The sequence below is a fragment of the Homo sapiens genome, chromosome 10 (assembly GCF_000001405.40).
Source record: "Homo sapiens chromosome 10, GRCh38.p14 Primary Assembly".
Taxonomy (NCBI): domain Eukaryota; kingdom Metazoa; phylum Chordata; class Mammalia; order Primates; family Hominidae; genus Homo; species Homo sapiens.
The window spans coordinates 63,469,907-63,488,560 of NC_000010.11; the positions used below are offsets into that span (position 1 = coordinate 63,469,907).

Below are 18,654 nucleotides of genomic sequence, written 5' to 3' on the forward strand. Positions count from 1 at the left end.
TTATTAAACCTTAAATAATTTGTATTTGGGGTTTGTATACCCTAAGCACTTATTTAAAATGAATTCCTCAATCACATTTATGATAATGATAAATTAACTCAAATATCAAAATATCACTTCCTCAAGGAAACCATCCCTGATTCTCAGACTATGTAGGATTCCCCAATAACAGATTTTCAAAACATGCCTTATTTGTCTTAGTACTACCACAACTGTATTTACACCATTTATTGTGTAATTGATCATTTATATTTTTTCCCTTTATAGGATATATAAGCTCCATAAGGCATCTTTGTCTTGTTCATAACTATACTCCCAGCAGCTACCAGGCCTTGCTAAGAGATGATAAAACATGTTATAGCATGAATGAATGAATGAATGAATATAGCAAAATGTACCTTTTTCTAAATCTAACTCAACTAAGAGGAACTTAGAATCTCGGACATAAATGAGAGTTCCTGTTCTTCCTACAGGGTTATTCATCACCTTCAAAATAATGTCTTATGTACATTATCTCTTTTCATCATGGAGGTACAATGTTAAGCCTTCGAAAACATGCTTCAGTAGAAAAGCAAGGTTTTTCCTGGGAAAATTTCTAAAGAACAGATACAGAAGGAAGAGTTACAATTCTCAAGAAAAAACATTCATTTCATTACCAAACTACCAATTTAATACAAACCCAAAAATGATCCTATGAGTGTATATCCAAAACACTAGTCTATTCTTAGTCTTCTAAAAAGAACAGTCTCAAATAACATCCTTGATGGAGCCAATATACAAACATAACTTTCTGACTATCTTCTTGATGCCATGGAAGGAGGGAAAGAGAAGAAAAAAAGGAAGATAGAAAAGAAATGAAGGAGGAAGTGAAGCAATCTCTATTGGGCCTTCTAATTGTACTTTCTATCCATCTGTTATCCAGTTTCCAGTTTAAATTCTGGCTGCACAGGAATGTACCACTTCTTTTCAACATTCTCTTCTCTATTAAAAACAAGGTTGATTTTTAATGATAAAAAATTAAAAATTTAGAAAGAATACACAAAGCATCAGAAAATTCCTAATCTGCTGAGTGAGGAACTACAAGAAATAAAGAAATGGAAAGTTGCCATTGAGCACACAGTAAGAGTCTTGCCAGCGTGTCCCACTGCACTTTTTCTCTGTTCATCATCCCTATCATAAACGCTCCAACTATTAACTACCATTAAAATATGCAAGTCTGCACTTTGCAAACAGGTTAGGTTCCAAAAGGGTCGTGTTCTTATTAATCTTACAAGCTTTCACTATTGTTACAAGTTAATAGCAGCAGGGTAAAAGTCTTCTGTTTATATCCATGAAAGTTCATTAAGTAAAGGAGGTTCTAAACTTGTATTAAAACTATAAATGAAGGAAAGCCAATGTAAAATCTAAACTAAAAAGTAATACCAACTCAAAATCTCTGCATGCTAACCATATACTCCATCTATGTTCTTCCTCACCAATGAAGCTAGGTATTATATAATGAAGGAAATTTATAATCAAGAACACACGTAATTCAGCAAGGAGCAAAGTATGCTTTCCTGTCACGTGGTAGGTTCAAACCCCCAAAATGTTAAAGGACTGACAAAAGTAATCTTGCTTAGCAAAACAAATATTGTTAGAAAGACTTCAGCATATGCTATTTCTCAAAGGTCTCAAAGAAGATATACATATGATTAATACTAATATTACTACATACTAATTACTAATATTAATACATACTAATATAATACAAACCAAAGTACTAAATAACAGTTTTTAAACATCATTGTAAAACTGCTTCTTTCCTCTGCTTTCCAAGTTTGGTCATAAAACCATTATATTAAAACAAATAGGTCAGGCATGGTAGCTCTCACCTGTAATCCCAGCACACTGGGAGGCTGAGTGGGGCGGATCACCTGAGGTCGGGAATTTGAGATCAGCCTGACCAATACAGTAAAATGCCTTCTCTACTAAAAATACAAAAATTAGCTGGGCATGGTGGCACATGGCTGTAGTGCCAACTACTCGGGAGGCTAAGGGAGGGGAATCACTTGAACGCGGGAAGCAAGAGACTTCAGTGGGCTGAGATTGCACCACTGCACTGAAGCCTGGGCGACAGAGTGAGACTCAGTCTCAAAACAAACAAACAAACAAACAAACAGTCTATCAAAACTAACTTGAAATGGAAGAATTTTTGCAATGTTCTACATTACAAATAAACTTTTGAATTGACACTTTTTAACCTTATATACCTTCTTCATCTATAATAGATAAAAATCCTATCTCAACTATTATATATTATATATAATAATTTCTTAATAATTTCAACTATTCTAGCTACAAAAATTATCTTAAAAGCAATTGCTTCATTTGCTTTTATATCTAAATTTGCATGGATGCTTCTTTCCCCCACTTGCAATTTCTTTTTTATTTAATTATTTATTTTTTTGAGTCAGAGTCTCCCTGTTGCCCAGGTTGGAGTGCAACGGCGTAATCTCAGCTACTGCAACCTCCACCTCCTGAGTTCAAGCAATTCTCGTGCCTCAGTCTCCCAAGTAGCTGGAATTAAAGGCATGTGCCACCACGCCTGGCTAATTTTTGTATTTTTAGTAGAGACGGGGTTTCACTGTGTTGGCCAGGCTGGTCTCTAACTCCTGACCTCAAGTGATCCACCTGCCTCTGCCTCCCAAAGTGCTGGGATTGCAGGCATGAGCCACTGCGCCCCGCCCTGCAATTTCTTTTTATATTCACAAGTTTTAAAATTTCATATATAGCCAAATATGCTAATATATTTATGTTGCAGCCTTAAGGCATGCTTTAAAAATACTCTATGTAGGTATTCTTTGGTATTTTCTTTTAGGAATTTTATAATTCAATTTTTATTTATTTATTTATTTTTGAGATGGAGTCTTGCTCTGTTGCCAGGCTGGAGTGCAGTGGCGCGATCATAGGATCACCGCAACCGCCTTCTCTCAGGTTCAAGCAATTCTCCTGCCTCAGCCTCCCGAGTAGGTGGGACTACAGGCGAGCGCCACCACGCCCAGCTAATTTTTGTATTTTTAGTAGAGACAGGGTCTCATCATGTTGGCCAGGATGGTCTCGATCTCTTGACCTCATGATCTGCCCTCCTCGGCCTCCCAAAGTGCTGGGATTACGGGCGTAAGCCACTGCCCCCAGCCTAATTCAAATTTTAAATCTGTTAATGTATCCCTTAATTACAAAAGACCTACAGAATAGAGATATAATACTTTCTATAAAACTAATAAAGATGAAAAAAACATTAAGTAGGACAAGGATATGGTAAAACAAATGCTCTGTTGTAGAAGTAATACACATTTGGTTAAAAAAACTTTTTTTTTTGAGACACGGTCTCACTCTGTCATCCAGGCTGGAGTGCAGTGGCACAATCTTGGCTCACTGCAACCTCTGCCTCGGAAGTTCAAGCAGTTCTCCTGCCTCAGCCTCCTGAGTAGCTGGGATTACAGGCACACAGCACCACACCTGGCTAATTTTTGCATTTTTGAGTAGAGACGGGGTTTCACTATGTTGGCCAGGCTAGTCTCGAACTCCTGACCTCAAGTGATCCTCCCACCTTGGCCTCCCAAAGTGCTGGGATTTCAGGCATGAGCCACTGTGCCTGGCCAGGTAAAAAGAACTTCTAGGAATTACAGGTCACTTATTGCATCGAAACTGGACTTGCCTTTACATTCTTAATGTACTTTTACTTTTCCTCAAGATATGAACTTATTGTTGTAAAGCTGAATTTTCTTTCGCTACTTAAATCATTTATGTATATCTGGTAAATTATGACTAAATTTTTGTTAAATTGCATAAAGTAAACTGAAATACATACTTGGGGCCAGGCACAGTGGCTCACACCTGTAATTCCAGCACTTTGGGAGGCCAAGGCGGGCGGATCACCTGAGGTCAGGAGTTTGAGACCAGCCTGGCCAACATGGTGAAACCTCGTCTCTACTAAAAATACAAAAATTAGTTGGGCATGGTGATGGGCACCTGTAATCCCAGCTACTCAGGAGGCTGAGACAGGAGAATCCCTAGATCCCGGGAGGCGAACGTTGCAGTGAGCCGAGATTGCGCTATTGCACTCCAGCCTAGGTGACAAGAGTGAAACTCTGTCTCAAAAAAAAGAAAAGAAAAAAAGAAATAAATACACACTTGGTACACTAAAAAAAATAATAATAATAAATAAATAAATAAATAAATAACTTCTGGGAAGCAATCTGACCATCTTTACTGATAACAGCCTTAAACAAATCATACCATTTGACTCAGTAATTCGACTCCTTGGAAATCACCCTCAGTGAACAGACTAAGGATATAGAAATATGGAAAAAGTATGTTAGATGCTTTGGTCAACTGATTGCTGAGTCTCTCCTCAATCGCTAAAATGAGTGGGAGTGTAAGAGTGCTTATAAAGCGGGCAGCCGTGAAGAAAAGTGTTTTAGGATGAGAGAGATACATACTTGAATCCTGAAGAAAATTTATCAAAGGATGGGGATGAAATAGAAATAAAAACACCTTTTTTTTTTGTTTTTTTTTGAGACAGGGTCTCACTCTTGTCACCCATGCTGGAGTGCAGTGGTACAATCATGGCTCACTGCAGCCTTGACCCACCTCCCGGGCTCAAGCAATCCTCCTGCCTCAGCCTCCCAAGTAGCTGGGACCACCGGCATGTACCACCACGTCCAGCTCATTTTTTATTTTTTTGTAGAGACGACGGTCTCACTATTTTGCTAGGCTTGTCTCAAATTCTGGCGTTACGCAATCCTCTCACCTTAGCCTCCCAAAGTGCTGGGACTGCAGGCATGAGCCACCGTGCTCAGCCCAAAACAATTTGTTAAACAGAGCAAAATAAAATCAAAGAGAAGACTGAAGGTAATGGGGTCAAAAGTTCCAAATTATGTAGTCCAGTCAGCCTACTCTCAAATTATTAAAAAAAAAAAAGAATGAGTAATAATGTAATACGGAAAATGTGACAAATTGTTAAATGAACAAATTACAGCAAATCTAATGAATGCTGATAGAAGTTGGAATAGTGCTTACCCATGGGGGTGGGTAGTATTGACTGTGAAGTGGCATGAAGGTGCTGGAAATGCCCTATATCTTCATCATATAGTGATGGTTAAGCGAGTATAAAATGTAAAGATAAATCATGAAAATTTGCAGATGTTCATGATTCTAAACATAATTATCCTTTCCTTTACAGTTATAATAAATAATTACATCATTATTACTTGCAACATATGTAGAGTCATTATGTCTCTCTCAAATGCTCAGTTCGATTAGGACTGCATTTATGAACCCTGGACAGCTAAGGATACTCCCCATTTTACAATTTTGTTTTATGCTTTTAAAAAAATAATCCATCTGAATACATACTTCCTAGAGGGAATAGAAATAGCCTTCAATTTGGTCTACATTATCACCACTGAAAACTATGTTTTACTTAGTAAGGAAGATCTAATTCCATGAAAATAGTTAGCGCTACCTTAAAAAGTTCGGGTACTTGTCAAAAATGGCTTCCAAATATATTCCTTTTAATACAGGATGTGAAAACACTTCCTAATAAATTCCTGCAAAATTAGATGATACTGTATGTACTTCTGAAGGACAGACAAGAAAGTAACCTAAGACCAAAACAATAGAGGTCTCCTACTACTGGGGAGAAGGAGGATTATCAAGAATAGAGGAAAACAGAGCCTGCCTAAGACTAATACTGGTCTAGAACAAAAGAGAAAGCTCAATTCCTACCACCACAAAGCTAAACAGCATCCAAGGCCCCATGCCCACCACAACAACACAAACTAGCTCCAAGTAACACCTAAGTAAGAGCATTCGACTACTAGAGAAGTAGCAAAAGAACAGAGAGAGACCCTCTCTGAAGTTCAGGTGCGCAGATAAGGCTAACAGGTAAACATGAAGTAAAAACATTGGTCAAAACTTTGCAGCAAATCAATCCCCATCTTAAGTACTAGGTGATAATAGATTTAAAGTTGATAATGGGCTGGTAGCAGTGGCTCACACCTGTAATCCCAGCACTTTGGGAGGCTGAAGTGGGTGGATCATTTAAGGTCAGGAATTTGAGACCAGCCTGGCCAACATGGTGAAACCCTGTATCTACTAAAAATACAAAAAATTAGCCAGGCATGGTGGCAGGTGCCTGTAATCCCAGCTACTCGAGAGGCTGAGGCAGGAGAATTCCTTGAGCCTGGGAGGAAGAGGTTGCAGTGAGCCGAGATTGCACCACCGCACTCCAGCCTGGGCGACAGAATGAGATTTTGTCTAAAAATAAACAAATATATACATATATTTATTTATTATATATATATAAATAATTATATATATAAAGTTGATAATGCACTGAAGGTAATCAGAGCAATAAAAGGCAAATTCTCATCAACTCCAAGCAAGACTAATTCAACCCTCCACGCTAACACCTTAGCAGAACAAGAGTCATGACAAATTCTCAGCATAAATACGATTTACCATAAAATGATGACTGGCATTCAATCAAAAATTATAGGCTGGACAGAGTAGCTCATACCTGTAATCCCCACATTTTGGGAGACAAGAGGATCAGCTGAGGCCAAGAGTTCAAGACCAGCCTGGGCAACACAGTGAGACCCTGTCTCCACAAAAAATTTTTAAAAATTAGCCAGGCCTGGTGGTGTGCACATGCAGCCCAAGCTACTTGGGAGGGAGGCTGAGGCAAGAGGATTGCTTATGTCCAGAAGATCAACGCTGCAGTGAGTCATGATCACACCACTGCACTCCAGCCTGGATGACAGAGCAAAACCTTGTTTCTAAAATAAGTAGACAAACAAAATTTTAAAATTAAATTAAAAACATTTTTTAAAAGACCAGGCATGGTGGCTCACACCTGTAATCCCAGCACTTTGGGAGGGTGAGGCAAGAGGACCACTTGAGGCCAGCAGATCAAAGCTGCAGAAAGAAATCTCTAGACAAGGAAGAGGGGAAAATATGCAAACTAAAAGGAATGAGAGGGGTGACATCACTACAGATTCTACAAATATTAGAAGGATAAAAGAGAAAGTATAAAAAACTTTATACAAAAAATTCATCAATTTACATGAAACAGAAATTGCTAAGAGACACAAACTGTAGACCTCTCTCAAAAAGATATAGACTGAAGATCTAAATAAGTGGAGAGATATACCATGTCCATGCATCAGTATTAATAATATTCTAATAAGACTCAATAAGATTCTAATTCTCTCCAAATTGATCTGCAAATTTAAAGCAATCCCAATCAAAATGATGGTATTAATTTTTTTTTTGACACCGACAAGTTGATTCTAAACCCAAATAAGTTAAGATGAAGAAACTGGAACAGCCAAAACAATTTCAGAATGAAAAAATTGGAAGACTCTTTATATAAAATATGCTATCTTATATTAAGTCTTACTATATAGCTGCAGTAATCAACTCACCATAATGTTGGCAAAAAGATAGATATACATAGATGAACAGAACAAAATAAGAGAGTCCAGAAATAGACCCATACTTATATGGTCAATTGATTTTTCAATAAAGGTAAAAATGCAATTCAACAGAGAAAGGATGATCTCTTCAACAAATGGTGCCGGAACAATTTGTCATCCATATGTCAAAAAAAAAAAAAAAAACAACGAACCTTGACCCATACTTTGCAGCATATACTGAAACTAACTTAAAATGGAGCATAGATCTCAACGTAAAATATAAAGCTAAAAAACTTTCAGAAGAAAACAGGAGGAAACATTTTGTGACACTGGGATAGGCAAAAATTTCTCACCTGCAACACCAAAAGCAAGATTCATAAAACTAAAAATTAAACATAGTTAAAATTAAAAACTTCTGCTCTCCAAAGGTCACAGGGTGAGGTAAAATATTGGCAAAATGCATATCTGATAGAGGATTAATATCTAGAATATTTAAAGAACTTTCAAAACTCAATAATAAAAAAAACAAATTTTTAAAAATTGGGCAAAATATTTCAACAAATACATCACCAAATAAGATATGCAAGTGGCAAATAAGCACAAGAAAAGACACTCAACATCATTAATTATCAGGGAAATGCAAATTAAAACCACAATGAGATACCAAGTGTAAAGGAAGATAAGGAACAATCAGAACTCTCATACAGTGCTGACTGGAAGTGATTGCCACTTTGCAAAAGAGTTTCTAATAAAGTTAAACGTATACTTTTCATATGACCCAGTAAAGGAAGATGAGGAACAATCAGAACTCTCATACAGTGCTGACTGGAAGTGACTGCCACTTTGCAAAAGAGTTTCTAATAAAGTTAAACATATACTTTTCATATGACCCAGCAATCCCACTTTTAGGTATTTACCCAAGTGAAATAAAAACCTATGTTCATAAAAAAACCTACCTCTACACCCAAATGTACATAGCCGCTTTATTTGTAATTGCCAAACACTGCAAACAACCAAAAATGTCCCTCAAATGGGAAACAGGCAAACTATGGAGTGCTACTCAACAATAAATGAAATATTATACATGCAACAATATAGATATGGATGAAGCTCTGCGTTTGGCGAATCCTCAAAACCACCCTCAGAACTCACTAGAGAGACTCATAAAACTCAAAAGAAACATTATACTTTTGCTTACTGTTAATTACACTAAAATGACAACATTAAAATCAGCAAAGGGAAGAGGGGCATAGGAGACAGCAAGCACAAGCTTCCAGTTGTCCTCTCCCGGTGTAGTCATGCAGGCAGGGCTTATTTCTCCCAGCAACAACATATGCACAACATGCAGGAAATACTGGCAACCGGGAAGCTCACCTGAGGCTTAGTATTTAGGGTTTTTACTGGGGCTATTTGCATGGCTGACCTTAGTCTCCAGACCCCCCAGAGGTCAAGCTGATAACCACATGGTGCATACCTACAGTCCTAGCTAGTTGTGAAGCTGAGGCTGGAGGATCACTTGAGCCCAAGTGTTCAAGGTTACAGCGAGCTATGGATCCTGCCACTGCACTCCAACCTCCAACAGAATGAGACCCTGTCTCAAAAACAAATGAACAAAAACCACTAATAAAGAAAACTTTTTGGTCTTAATATAAGCAAGAATTGTTCTATTCCCTAGCAGGTGTTTTGTTTTTATCATATAGACACTGAATTATATCACTGACCCAATTTTCTTTCTATGTAGGCTGTTAGAACATTTTATGCTATACACTTTTTACGTATTATATAATTTTTTCAGCTTTTTGTTTCAAAAATTTTCAAACTTAATGAGAGAGAGAAAAAGAAGAATGAATACCCACATACCCTTCATGCAACAATACCAACAAATTGCCAATCTTATTTCTTCTCTTTTTTTTTTTTTTTGGCTGGAATGTTTTAAAGCAAATCCCAGATGTCGTATCATCTCACCCAGGAATAGTAAAGAAAGTATCATTATCCATTAAAGACTTTTCTTTAAAGTAACCCTACAATACCATTATCACATTTTACAAAATAAGCAATAATTCTTCAGTATCATCTAATAAGTAGTCCATACTCAAATGTCCTCAATTACCTCAAAAATGAAATTTTTGCCATTAGTTTGTGTAAACCAGAAACAAAACAAGAACCACACATTGCATCTGATTGATAAGTCTCTTTAAATCTCATTTAATCTCATTTAAGTCATTTGTCCTGGAGAATTTCCCATATCCTAAATTCAGCTAACTGTTCCCTCATGGTATTAATTTACTATTCTATTCCCCATATTTCCTGTAAAGTGGTAGTAAGATCTAGATCTAGAGACATGATTCAGTTTCAATTTTTTGGCAAAAATAGTCCATAATAGTCCATAGGTGATACATGTACTTTCCTAATCCATTACATTAGGACACACATAATGTCTTGTTGTCCCACTGAGAGTGACACAGAAATAGCAGAACTTCTTAAATTTAATGACATATGAGACCCAGATTTCTACTTTGAAAGATTCAGACAATAATGATCCCAGTAACCAAAAACAGGGAAGAGATTTTTGAGAAGACTAAATATTATCAGTGGATTTCTTTGGGTGATAGATTTGCCAAATATATATTTTTTAATTTGTTCCAGTTTTCTGATTTTCTAAATATGGTACTCTAGAATACCATTACAAAAAAGAATGAATATCTATTACTTTGACAATTTTTTTAAATCTTTAAAGAATTACACTATATAGTTAGTTGTAGTCCAGAGTTTGTCAAATGAGACAACAATGTTCTGTGGCCAATATAAAAGGTTTTGATCCTGTTGGAAAGGGTCCCATTTCACCAAGATGCAAATGACCTACAAAGCCCATCTTTTGCAACCCTGTGCGGGTCTCCTAAATACATTCGATGGGAGCACTAATGAATCCTCCAGAAACAGCCTAAACTATAGTTTGATTTTTTTTTTTTTTTGAGGCAGTCTCATTTTGCTACCCAGGCTTGAGTGCAGTGGTACAATCATAGCTCACTGTACTTCGAACTCCTTGGCTCAGGTGATCCTCCCACACTGGCCTCGCAAAGCACTGGGATCATAAGAATGACACACCACACCTGGCCTAAACTATAGTTTTATAAAGCCAACACAACTCCAGGGACTGGCACCCTAGAATGGCAGCAATGAAAGCTGTGAGCACAATGGTTACAGGACCAACGCATTTAAAGCTTCCTTCAGTGGATGTTATTGACAATTTAAAAGTACTATTGTAAAAAAAAAAAAAAAACTATTATTCATCACAGCCAGTTTGAATGCCTATAGATAGAGGCACCATTTCTGACAGAAAGCACTGTGGATGCAAACTTATTTTTGCTACATTGCTGTTATATCACTCAGTTAAAAAAAAAATGGAAATGGCAAATGAGAAAGCCCAGGACTCTGGCTATAACTACAAAGGAAGAAAAAGTTCCTTTTTGTGACTACCAACAACAGTCCTTTCCTTACTTTCATTCTATATCACAGGATATTAACTTTCTGGAGAAGAAATGGTAAGCATTTTCATCGCCTACCATATAATTCATATTTATATGTAAGAGAAATTATGTTTAACATAACCACATTATAGACTCATCAGAACTAAGTATCATTATTTGTAAATTTTACAAATGCCACTCATGTGTTGACATTATAAAATTAGGCTAATCATATCATAGACTGAATCCTCAAATGTTTTTACTAAATTCAACTTCTACCTGCTGAGAAACTATAAGTATTTTTCTTCAGGAACTAAATAGGATTTCCTTGTATTATAGGTACTGCTAATAAATGAAGTTCTCTTCTTTAGCTGATAAATAGCTGTAGAATGAAATAGTTTTTAAACTTTAGATAAAATTTTCAGATTTGAAAAATAATTGATCCCTTATAGTTTTTTAAAGTTCACTTGGAAATTACGGTGATATTAACAGAATATGACAATATGTACAAACACATTTATTGCAGATACCATATCTACTAGACAGAATATTTATATCTTTAAAATAGTGGACACATTTCCTTTTATGAAAAACTGATTTTTTTTTTTGCTTTTTTTTCCTTTTAAAAATATGAGCAGTAATCACATTGACTAAACAAACAGCCTTTCTTAATTCTGTGGCTTTGAGACTTCACTTAGAAGCTTTATTTAACAAAAGACATTTCTGAATAAACTACAGTCAATTATAGATTATCTAAATGTGGCTTATTAACTGTGTATTTTAAATGTCTTCTCCTGCCACCCAGAACATTTTTGGATCTCTTCCATAACCTCACTTAGTAGATACAAACACTTCTTTCAAAAATAAATTAATCTCCAGTTTATTCAGACCATTTTGAGGACTGAAAGAGGTAAAAATCAGGAGAGAAAACAAACCCCCAAAACAAGGTAGTAAGACACACAGGGAGGAAGAGACAAACAGGAGCTGGAGGAAGTGGAAGAGAGGAGAAGAGAACCTACGGCAGAGAAAGAACTGTAGGTTTCCCTTGGATTAAAGACTCTTCAAAGCTGCATGGAGAGGGAGGGAAATTCCAAGTTTTTGTTCTTTTACATCCTCATCTAGATGTATGACGAACTCACTGTACAGTACATTCCAAAGCTACAAGTACATTTCAAAATTATATGCCTTTCATTTTATTTTTGGCTATATAGTAAGTCCCCACTTAATGTTGTGGATAGGTTCTTGGAAACCGCAACTAAATGAAAGGAGTACAGAAGGTTCTCCAAAGTTGTTTCAATCAACCTCATTTCCTTACGACATTGATGAGGAAAAAAAAATTGGTTTCATTATACATTGTTTCACTTTTTAAGTAGACGTTTCCAAGAACTTACCAAGACATTAAGGACTTAACTATTCACTGATGTGTTCTAGAGACAAGTAAATAATCAGAAAGTACTTAAACATTCTTGGTTAAATGTCAGTATAATATTTTAATAATATTGTGGTTAAGACAGCAAATGAGCCAGGCATGGTGGCTGACACCTGTAATCCCAGCACTTTGGGAAGCTGAGGCAGGCGGATCACCTGAAGTCAGGAGTTCAAGACCAGCCTGGACAACATGGCGAAACCTAGTCTGTACTAAAAATACAAAACTTAGCTGGACACAGTGGCATACACCTGTAGTCCTAGCTACTCAGGAGGCTGAGGCAGGAGAATCGCTTGAACTCAGGAGGCCAAGGTAGCAGTGAGCTGACATCGCGCCACTGCACTCCAGCCTGGGTGATAGAGCAAGACTTCATCTCAAAAAAAAGAAAAAAAAGAGAGAGAGAGAGACCCCAAACTTGAGCTACATTGCCTGACTTCTAATCCTAGCTCCACCATTTACTAGCTGTGTTACCATGCAAATCACTTGATCTCTCTGTGCTTTCTTATCTATGAAATGGGAATAATTCCTATATAAAGAAGCTGCTGTGCGTGGGGATCACATAATGAACACATAATATATGCATAGAACATAGTTGAGCAAAGGAAGCACTCAATTAACTATTGCTAAGAAAGGTCAGTAACAGCCCGTTTGCTTTTTTAAGAAATCAATGAAATGCTTCCTAATTTTTGAAAAATTAAATCTGTAATTACTATGTATGGTTAATCTAATCAATCATGACCATTTTGAAAAATCTCCAAATAACTCTAGTCTAAATAATTATCATCATAAAGGAACTCATCTCAAATTATAACTATAAAATCTAATGTAAAGTAACTATATGTCAATCAAAATAGTCTTTAAAATTGGTCAACTGGATTGTTCATTATTCATCATGAAAACAAGTAATTATCTGAGAAATTTACTAATTTTAGTTCCTCCATGAAAACCAATAGAATTTCAAGAGGATAAAACACCATTGTCAGTTACAGATAAAGTATGATAGATTAAAACAATCCAGACATTTCTACAAAGTATTTACCACAAAACATACCATAACATTAGTTTCCAAGTGAGCGGTTGCATAAGTCTAGATCAGAAAGTCTTAGCCTTCGCACTAGTAACATTTTAGGAAACATAAGTTTTGGAGGGGGAGGCTATCCTCTGTGCATTTTAGGAAGCTGAGCAGCACCCCTGCCTCTGCGCATTAGATTTCAGCAGTACCTACCTCCCCAACTCTCACCCTCCATGTGACAACCAAATGTGTCTCCAGACATTGTCAAATGACAATTGCTCTACTTTGTGAGAAAATTTTTGTTTATAACAAAGTAGCATTATAATAACAACCAACTTTCTCCCATCCCTCCCCCTTTTGCCATTTTTTGAAAACTTCACAAAAAGATGGATTATCTTCCCCAAATGCATTTTAGTATCTTGATTATACTTGCAAATGATATTGCTGCTGGCATCTATTTTATACTTACCTGATTCTCTGCAGAACCCAAAATAATGTAATTCATTTCTCAATAATGTATGTATACATTTTAACTGTGATTCATTTTTAATTTGTCCTTTCTTCATTAGGATTAAAAATTTTAATATCTTAAACCAGACACATTATGTTGCCAATCACTAGCACAGTACTTCAGTAAATGCACTAATACTTCTCAGCATGTCATAACTACTAAGCCTCTAATAAGCATTTAGCATGAATTATATCATTTAGTCCTAACAATAATCTGAATACATATTATCTCTACTTTTTCAGGTGAGGAAACTGAAGCTAAGAAAGAATAACATGCCTAAGTTATGAACATGACTTCACAGTGATAGGAAGTGACAGAACCAGGACTGGATTGCAAGCTTCCAAAGGCAGTGTTTATATTCACTAGCTGGGCATGGTGGCTCACTCCTGTAATCCCAGCACCTTGGGATGGATGGATGGATGGATGGATGGATGGATGGATGGATGGATGGATGGATAGATAGATAGATAGATAGATAGATAGATAGATAAGATAGATAGATAAGACAGACAGATAAAAATAAAAAAATTCACAACACCAGAATGATCCTAAGAACCACCATTTCAAAAACTCATAATGGACTTCGTATTTTTTGAGATCATACTGCTTTCCTCATTGAATAATTTTCAGTATGTAACTTCTAGTGTATGTAACTTTTCCAAATATATCCCTTTTCACGCTATTTATACCCTCCCACTTCAGAGCAAGCACAGCACTTATTTGAACTTCAATAGTGGCCTTTGTGATAGGATAATTTGTAGCTGAACTTGAGATTTTGTTAAAAAAATGGAGTTGAAAACATAAGATCTTGATGATCAAACCAATAAAAGCAGTGACAACCCTACTTTTACTGTCTCTTAACTTAAAAAAAAAGGCAAGAATAGATGTTTTACTGTCTCTTAACTTAAAAAAAATTGGCACTATCCATGCCAATTTATATATCTATCTAAAATTGATTATAATAAGTACTGTACATTTAATTTCTATTGAGCTTTGATTATGAGATATTAATGACATATTTCTGACAATGGCCAGACTCAAATAGAAAATAGAGGGGGGGAATAAAAGGAAGGAAGGAAACACTCACCTTTCCTCAGTTTTCCCGATTCCACTACTGCAAGGCCCTAGAGGCTCCAAAGGACACTAGAGCAAGCTAGGGTTCATGCTGCTCTCCCCTCCCCTAATTCACTGGAGGAGTGAATTAGGATTTGGCATTATGGGTTTAAAAAAAAAAGAAATCCAGAAATAGATGTAAACCCACTAAAGGGATGGTAACAACACTAGCCTCATAAAGATTAAAATAAATAATTTATTTATAAATTAAATTATAAATTTAATTAAATATTTAAAATGATTAAATAAAAAATTCAAAACAACTAGCACAGTGCCAGGCATATAAGTGCAGAGTAAATGCTAAGTGTTCATTGCTTTTTGTTTGTCTGTTTTTGAAATGAAACGCTACTAGAAAAACTTTTAAAACACAGATGAGAGTATCTATGGCTCTTCCTGAAATACTTACTGTGCTCTCCTCTTTCTATACCTATTCTTTCAAAATCCCCTTGCTATCAGGTTGTGCTCAGAGAATGCAAGCCTTTCTTACAGTCTCCATTTCTACCTCACAAGTCTTTATTCAGACAAAACAGCAGCAGGGAGAAAAAAAAGAAAAGAAAGAGAAAAGATCCCCTCTCCCCTTCAATGCTTTGTTTCTTTTTTTCTAAGCATGTGTGACAGTTTGATGTAGAATAATGAGTGACATCGTATCCTAGAAATAAAATTCTCAAAATTAACAAAGAGGTATTAAAAATAAATCCAAATTTACTCCATTTTGAGTTAGGAGAACTCATATTTGGAAAAGCATCACTGTGCATGTTTCATTTCCAGGACTGGGATTTGAAAGCAGTGCCTGGGGACCTTTGGCACAACATCCAGCACAGGGTAATTTTAAATAACAGTGCTATATGAATGAACTAATATTTTCCTTTATCTAACCAGCAATTAAATCTATTAACTTACTTAGTAAATACTTGCAAAGGGCCTACTGTATGCCAGGTACTGTTGCCTTGTACAGGGATCCAAAAGTGAACAGGACATATATGGCCTCTGTTCCCACCAAGTTGACAGCACAGTAGGGACAAGACAAATAAAACGGCCTATATAATTTAGTATCACAAAGTGAGAAGTCCAACAGAAGATATTAAATGGATGGATGGCAGCACACAGAAGGGGCAACTAATCCAGGATTGGGGTCAGGGAAGTAGTCAGAAAATAAGTGATAGACGTGACAAAGCCTGAAGAATGAATGAAAGTCAGCCAAAGACGTGGAGAAGGGGAAAGTAAAGGGCTTCAAGCAATTGTAAAAAAAAAAAAAAAAAAAAAAAAAAAAAAACAAAAAACAGAAAACTTGAGAGAGCATGCCACATGTGAGGAAGTTTGAGAAATTCATTAGAGTATGACTGAAGCTTAGCACGTTTAAGGGACAGCAGGGGCAGGGGAGATTGGGAGACAGAAGAAGCATGGATAGAGCGAGTGCTGAGAGCTGAAGGTGGATATGTTAGCAGGGACCAACTGACCATGACCTGGTAAAAAGCACTTTGTGAAGCTGTATTTTAGACTAAAGGAAACTGAAGGCATTTAAGGACTTTAAGCAAGGAAGCAAAGGAATCAGCATTTAGAATAACTAATCTACCTGTGGCACGGAAAATGGATAGAAATAATTCAGTCTATTGAAATAAGCTTAATTTATCTCTTCCTGTAACTTTAATCCTTCCTCCTCTAATGGTACCTTACTATGGGCAATTAAAAATGTTTATATCTCTCTCATCTAAAAAAACAACAAACCCACCCACTCCCTTAACTGCATATCACCCTGCAGTTACCATTCTGTCTCTTAACTTACAGTACATTTCTTGAAAAGTGAACTGCATGACTTTCTCCAAATAACTCCAAATAACTCTGCATGGCTTACTCCTCACTTTCCTCAGAAATCTACTCTAATATTACCCTAAAATGGGGCTCTCTGAGCACTTTACATAAAATAGCACCACCTTCCACACCTGTGGCATTCCCTACCCCTTATCATCATCAGACACTATGGCCAAGGCGCTACACTAAGTACCTTACATGATTTCTATCATTAACAGTAATGATACGGATGAATAAAGTGAGGCTTAAAAGCTAACTTGCCAAAGGTCACAACATTTGCTAAATGCTGAAGCCAGAACTCAGATTTAGGTAAGTTCATGGTTGGCATCACAAAATTGAAGGAGGACAAAGATAATAGCTTCTATTTTACTTTCTGTTTGAAAAGAAGACAAGGTCATCTGTTAAGAATAAGAGGAAGGTATGATATAGGAAGTCTGAAGAGAATAAAGGAGATCTAAAATAGCCCCATGAAAAATGGGAGAATGGACTAGGAAGTATTAAAGGACTACCAGGCAAAATTAAGGACCCAGTTGAAATTACAAAATATGGATTTATAGTGACAATGACCTGTGTCATTTTTCATCAGGACCAAAGATGAAGGGGCAAGTAAAGCATATAGACAGTGATTCTCAACACAGGAGGGCTGGGGTGAACAATTTTCTCCCCTTGGGACATTTGGCAATGTCTGGAAACAATTTTGTTTGTCACAATCTGCAGGAAAAGAGTTGCTACTGGCATGCAGTGGATAGAGGCTAGGATGCTGCTAAACATCCTATAATGCCAAGGACAGCACTCTAGAACAAAGAATTATTTGGATCCAAAATGTCAATAGTGCTGATGCTGAGAAACACTGACTGATCCAGGTTGGCAGATTTCCTAGGCACATCAATGGGAAGACAAAGGGACAAGAAAGTTAAAAGACACTGATCAGAGTTAAGGTGATAGACCACGAAGGTGGGTAAGGCAAAGATTTAGTATGTGAGAGGCCTGACAGATCAATGAGGGGGACAAAGTGGCCTCTGTGTTTGAAATGTTCAAATGGCTGACATGTCATCAATGAGTGATCACTCTTAGGACATTACTACATTCATCGGGAATAATGTGATAGACTTTGCAGTTTTCAACTCTGAGTGACAGAGAAGAAACTATCGTTTACTGTGAAGTTGTATGAACCAACCAGGATGCTAGTTCACATTTGTTATTTCATTTATTCCTCATGTAATACTTCTAAGAAAGGTATATTATTCCAATTTCATAAATGAAGACACTGCGACACAGAGAGGTGAAAGTTAAGTGTATATGGTCATACGATGTGGATGACAGAGCTGGGATTCACCCCAGAATGAGTGAATCTCCAAATTCACACTTTCTGAACCAAAACGCAGGAGCCATGACTTACAAAAAAATGGGGTGGGAGAAGAGACTGGCCCATATGTTTACAGACATCTGTTTGCACACAAAGTACACACAGCCTCAGTACTTTATAGTCACGGCATAGATTTATGTATGCAAATACCTCTACTTCAAAGGAAGGCCCTCCTAATATGTGCCCTTATTTCAAACAAAGTGGTGATCCATCAGACCAGAAGACTTTAACCATGTGGAGCCTCCCTACAACTGGGAAAATAGTATTTGTAAATATTTTTAAAATATCAATGTTCTAAAGCTACCTTTCTTAGATTAAGACCAGTGTGGGAAAAAAATATGGTGCTTCTTTTTCTTAGGTAAAATATAAAACATACATTAGAGAAAAAGAAAAATCAACAAGGCTTTCCTAACGTTTCTTGAAAAACCATTAAGCCCAGGTTCTTTTCAAAATGAGTTGAAAATGAATGTTAAAAAAAAAAAACTGTACT

The 18,654-nt window shown here is 36.5% G+C and overlaps 1 protein-coding gene across 7 annotated transcripts in view; it reads right to left on the bottom strand.

Moving 5' to 3' along the window:
- Positions 1-18,654, bottom strand: part of JMJD1C (jumonji domain containing 1C) — a 354,666-nt gene that overhangs the window by 302,682 nt on the left and 33,330 nt on the right. The window lies entirely within an intron of this gene.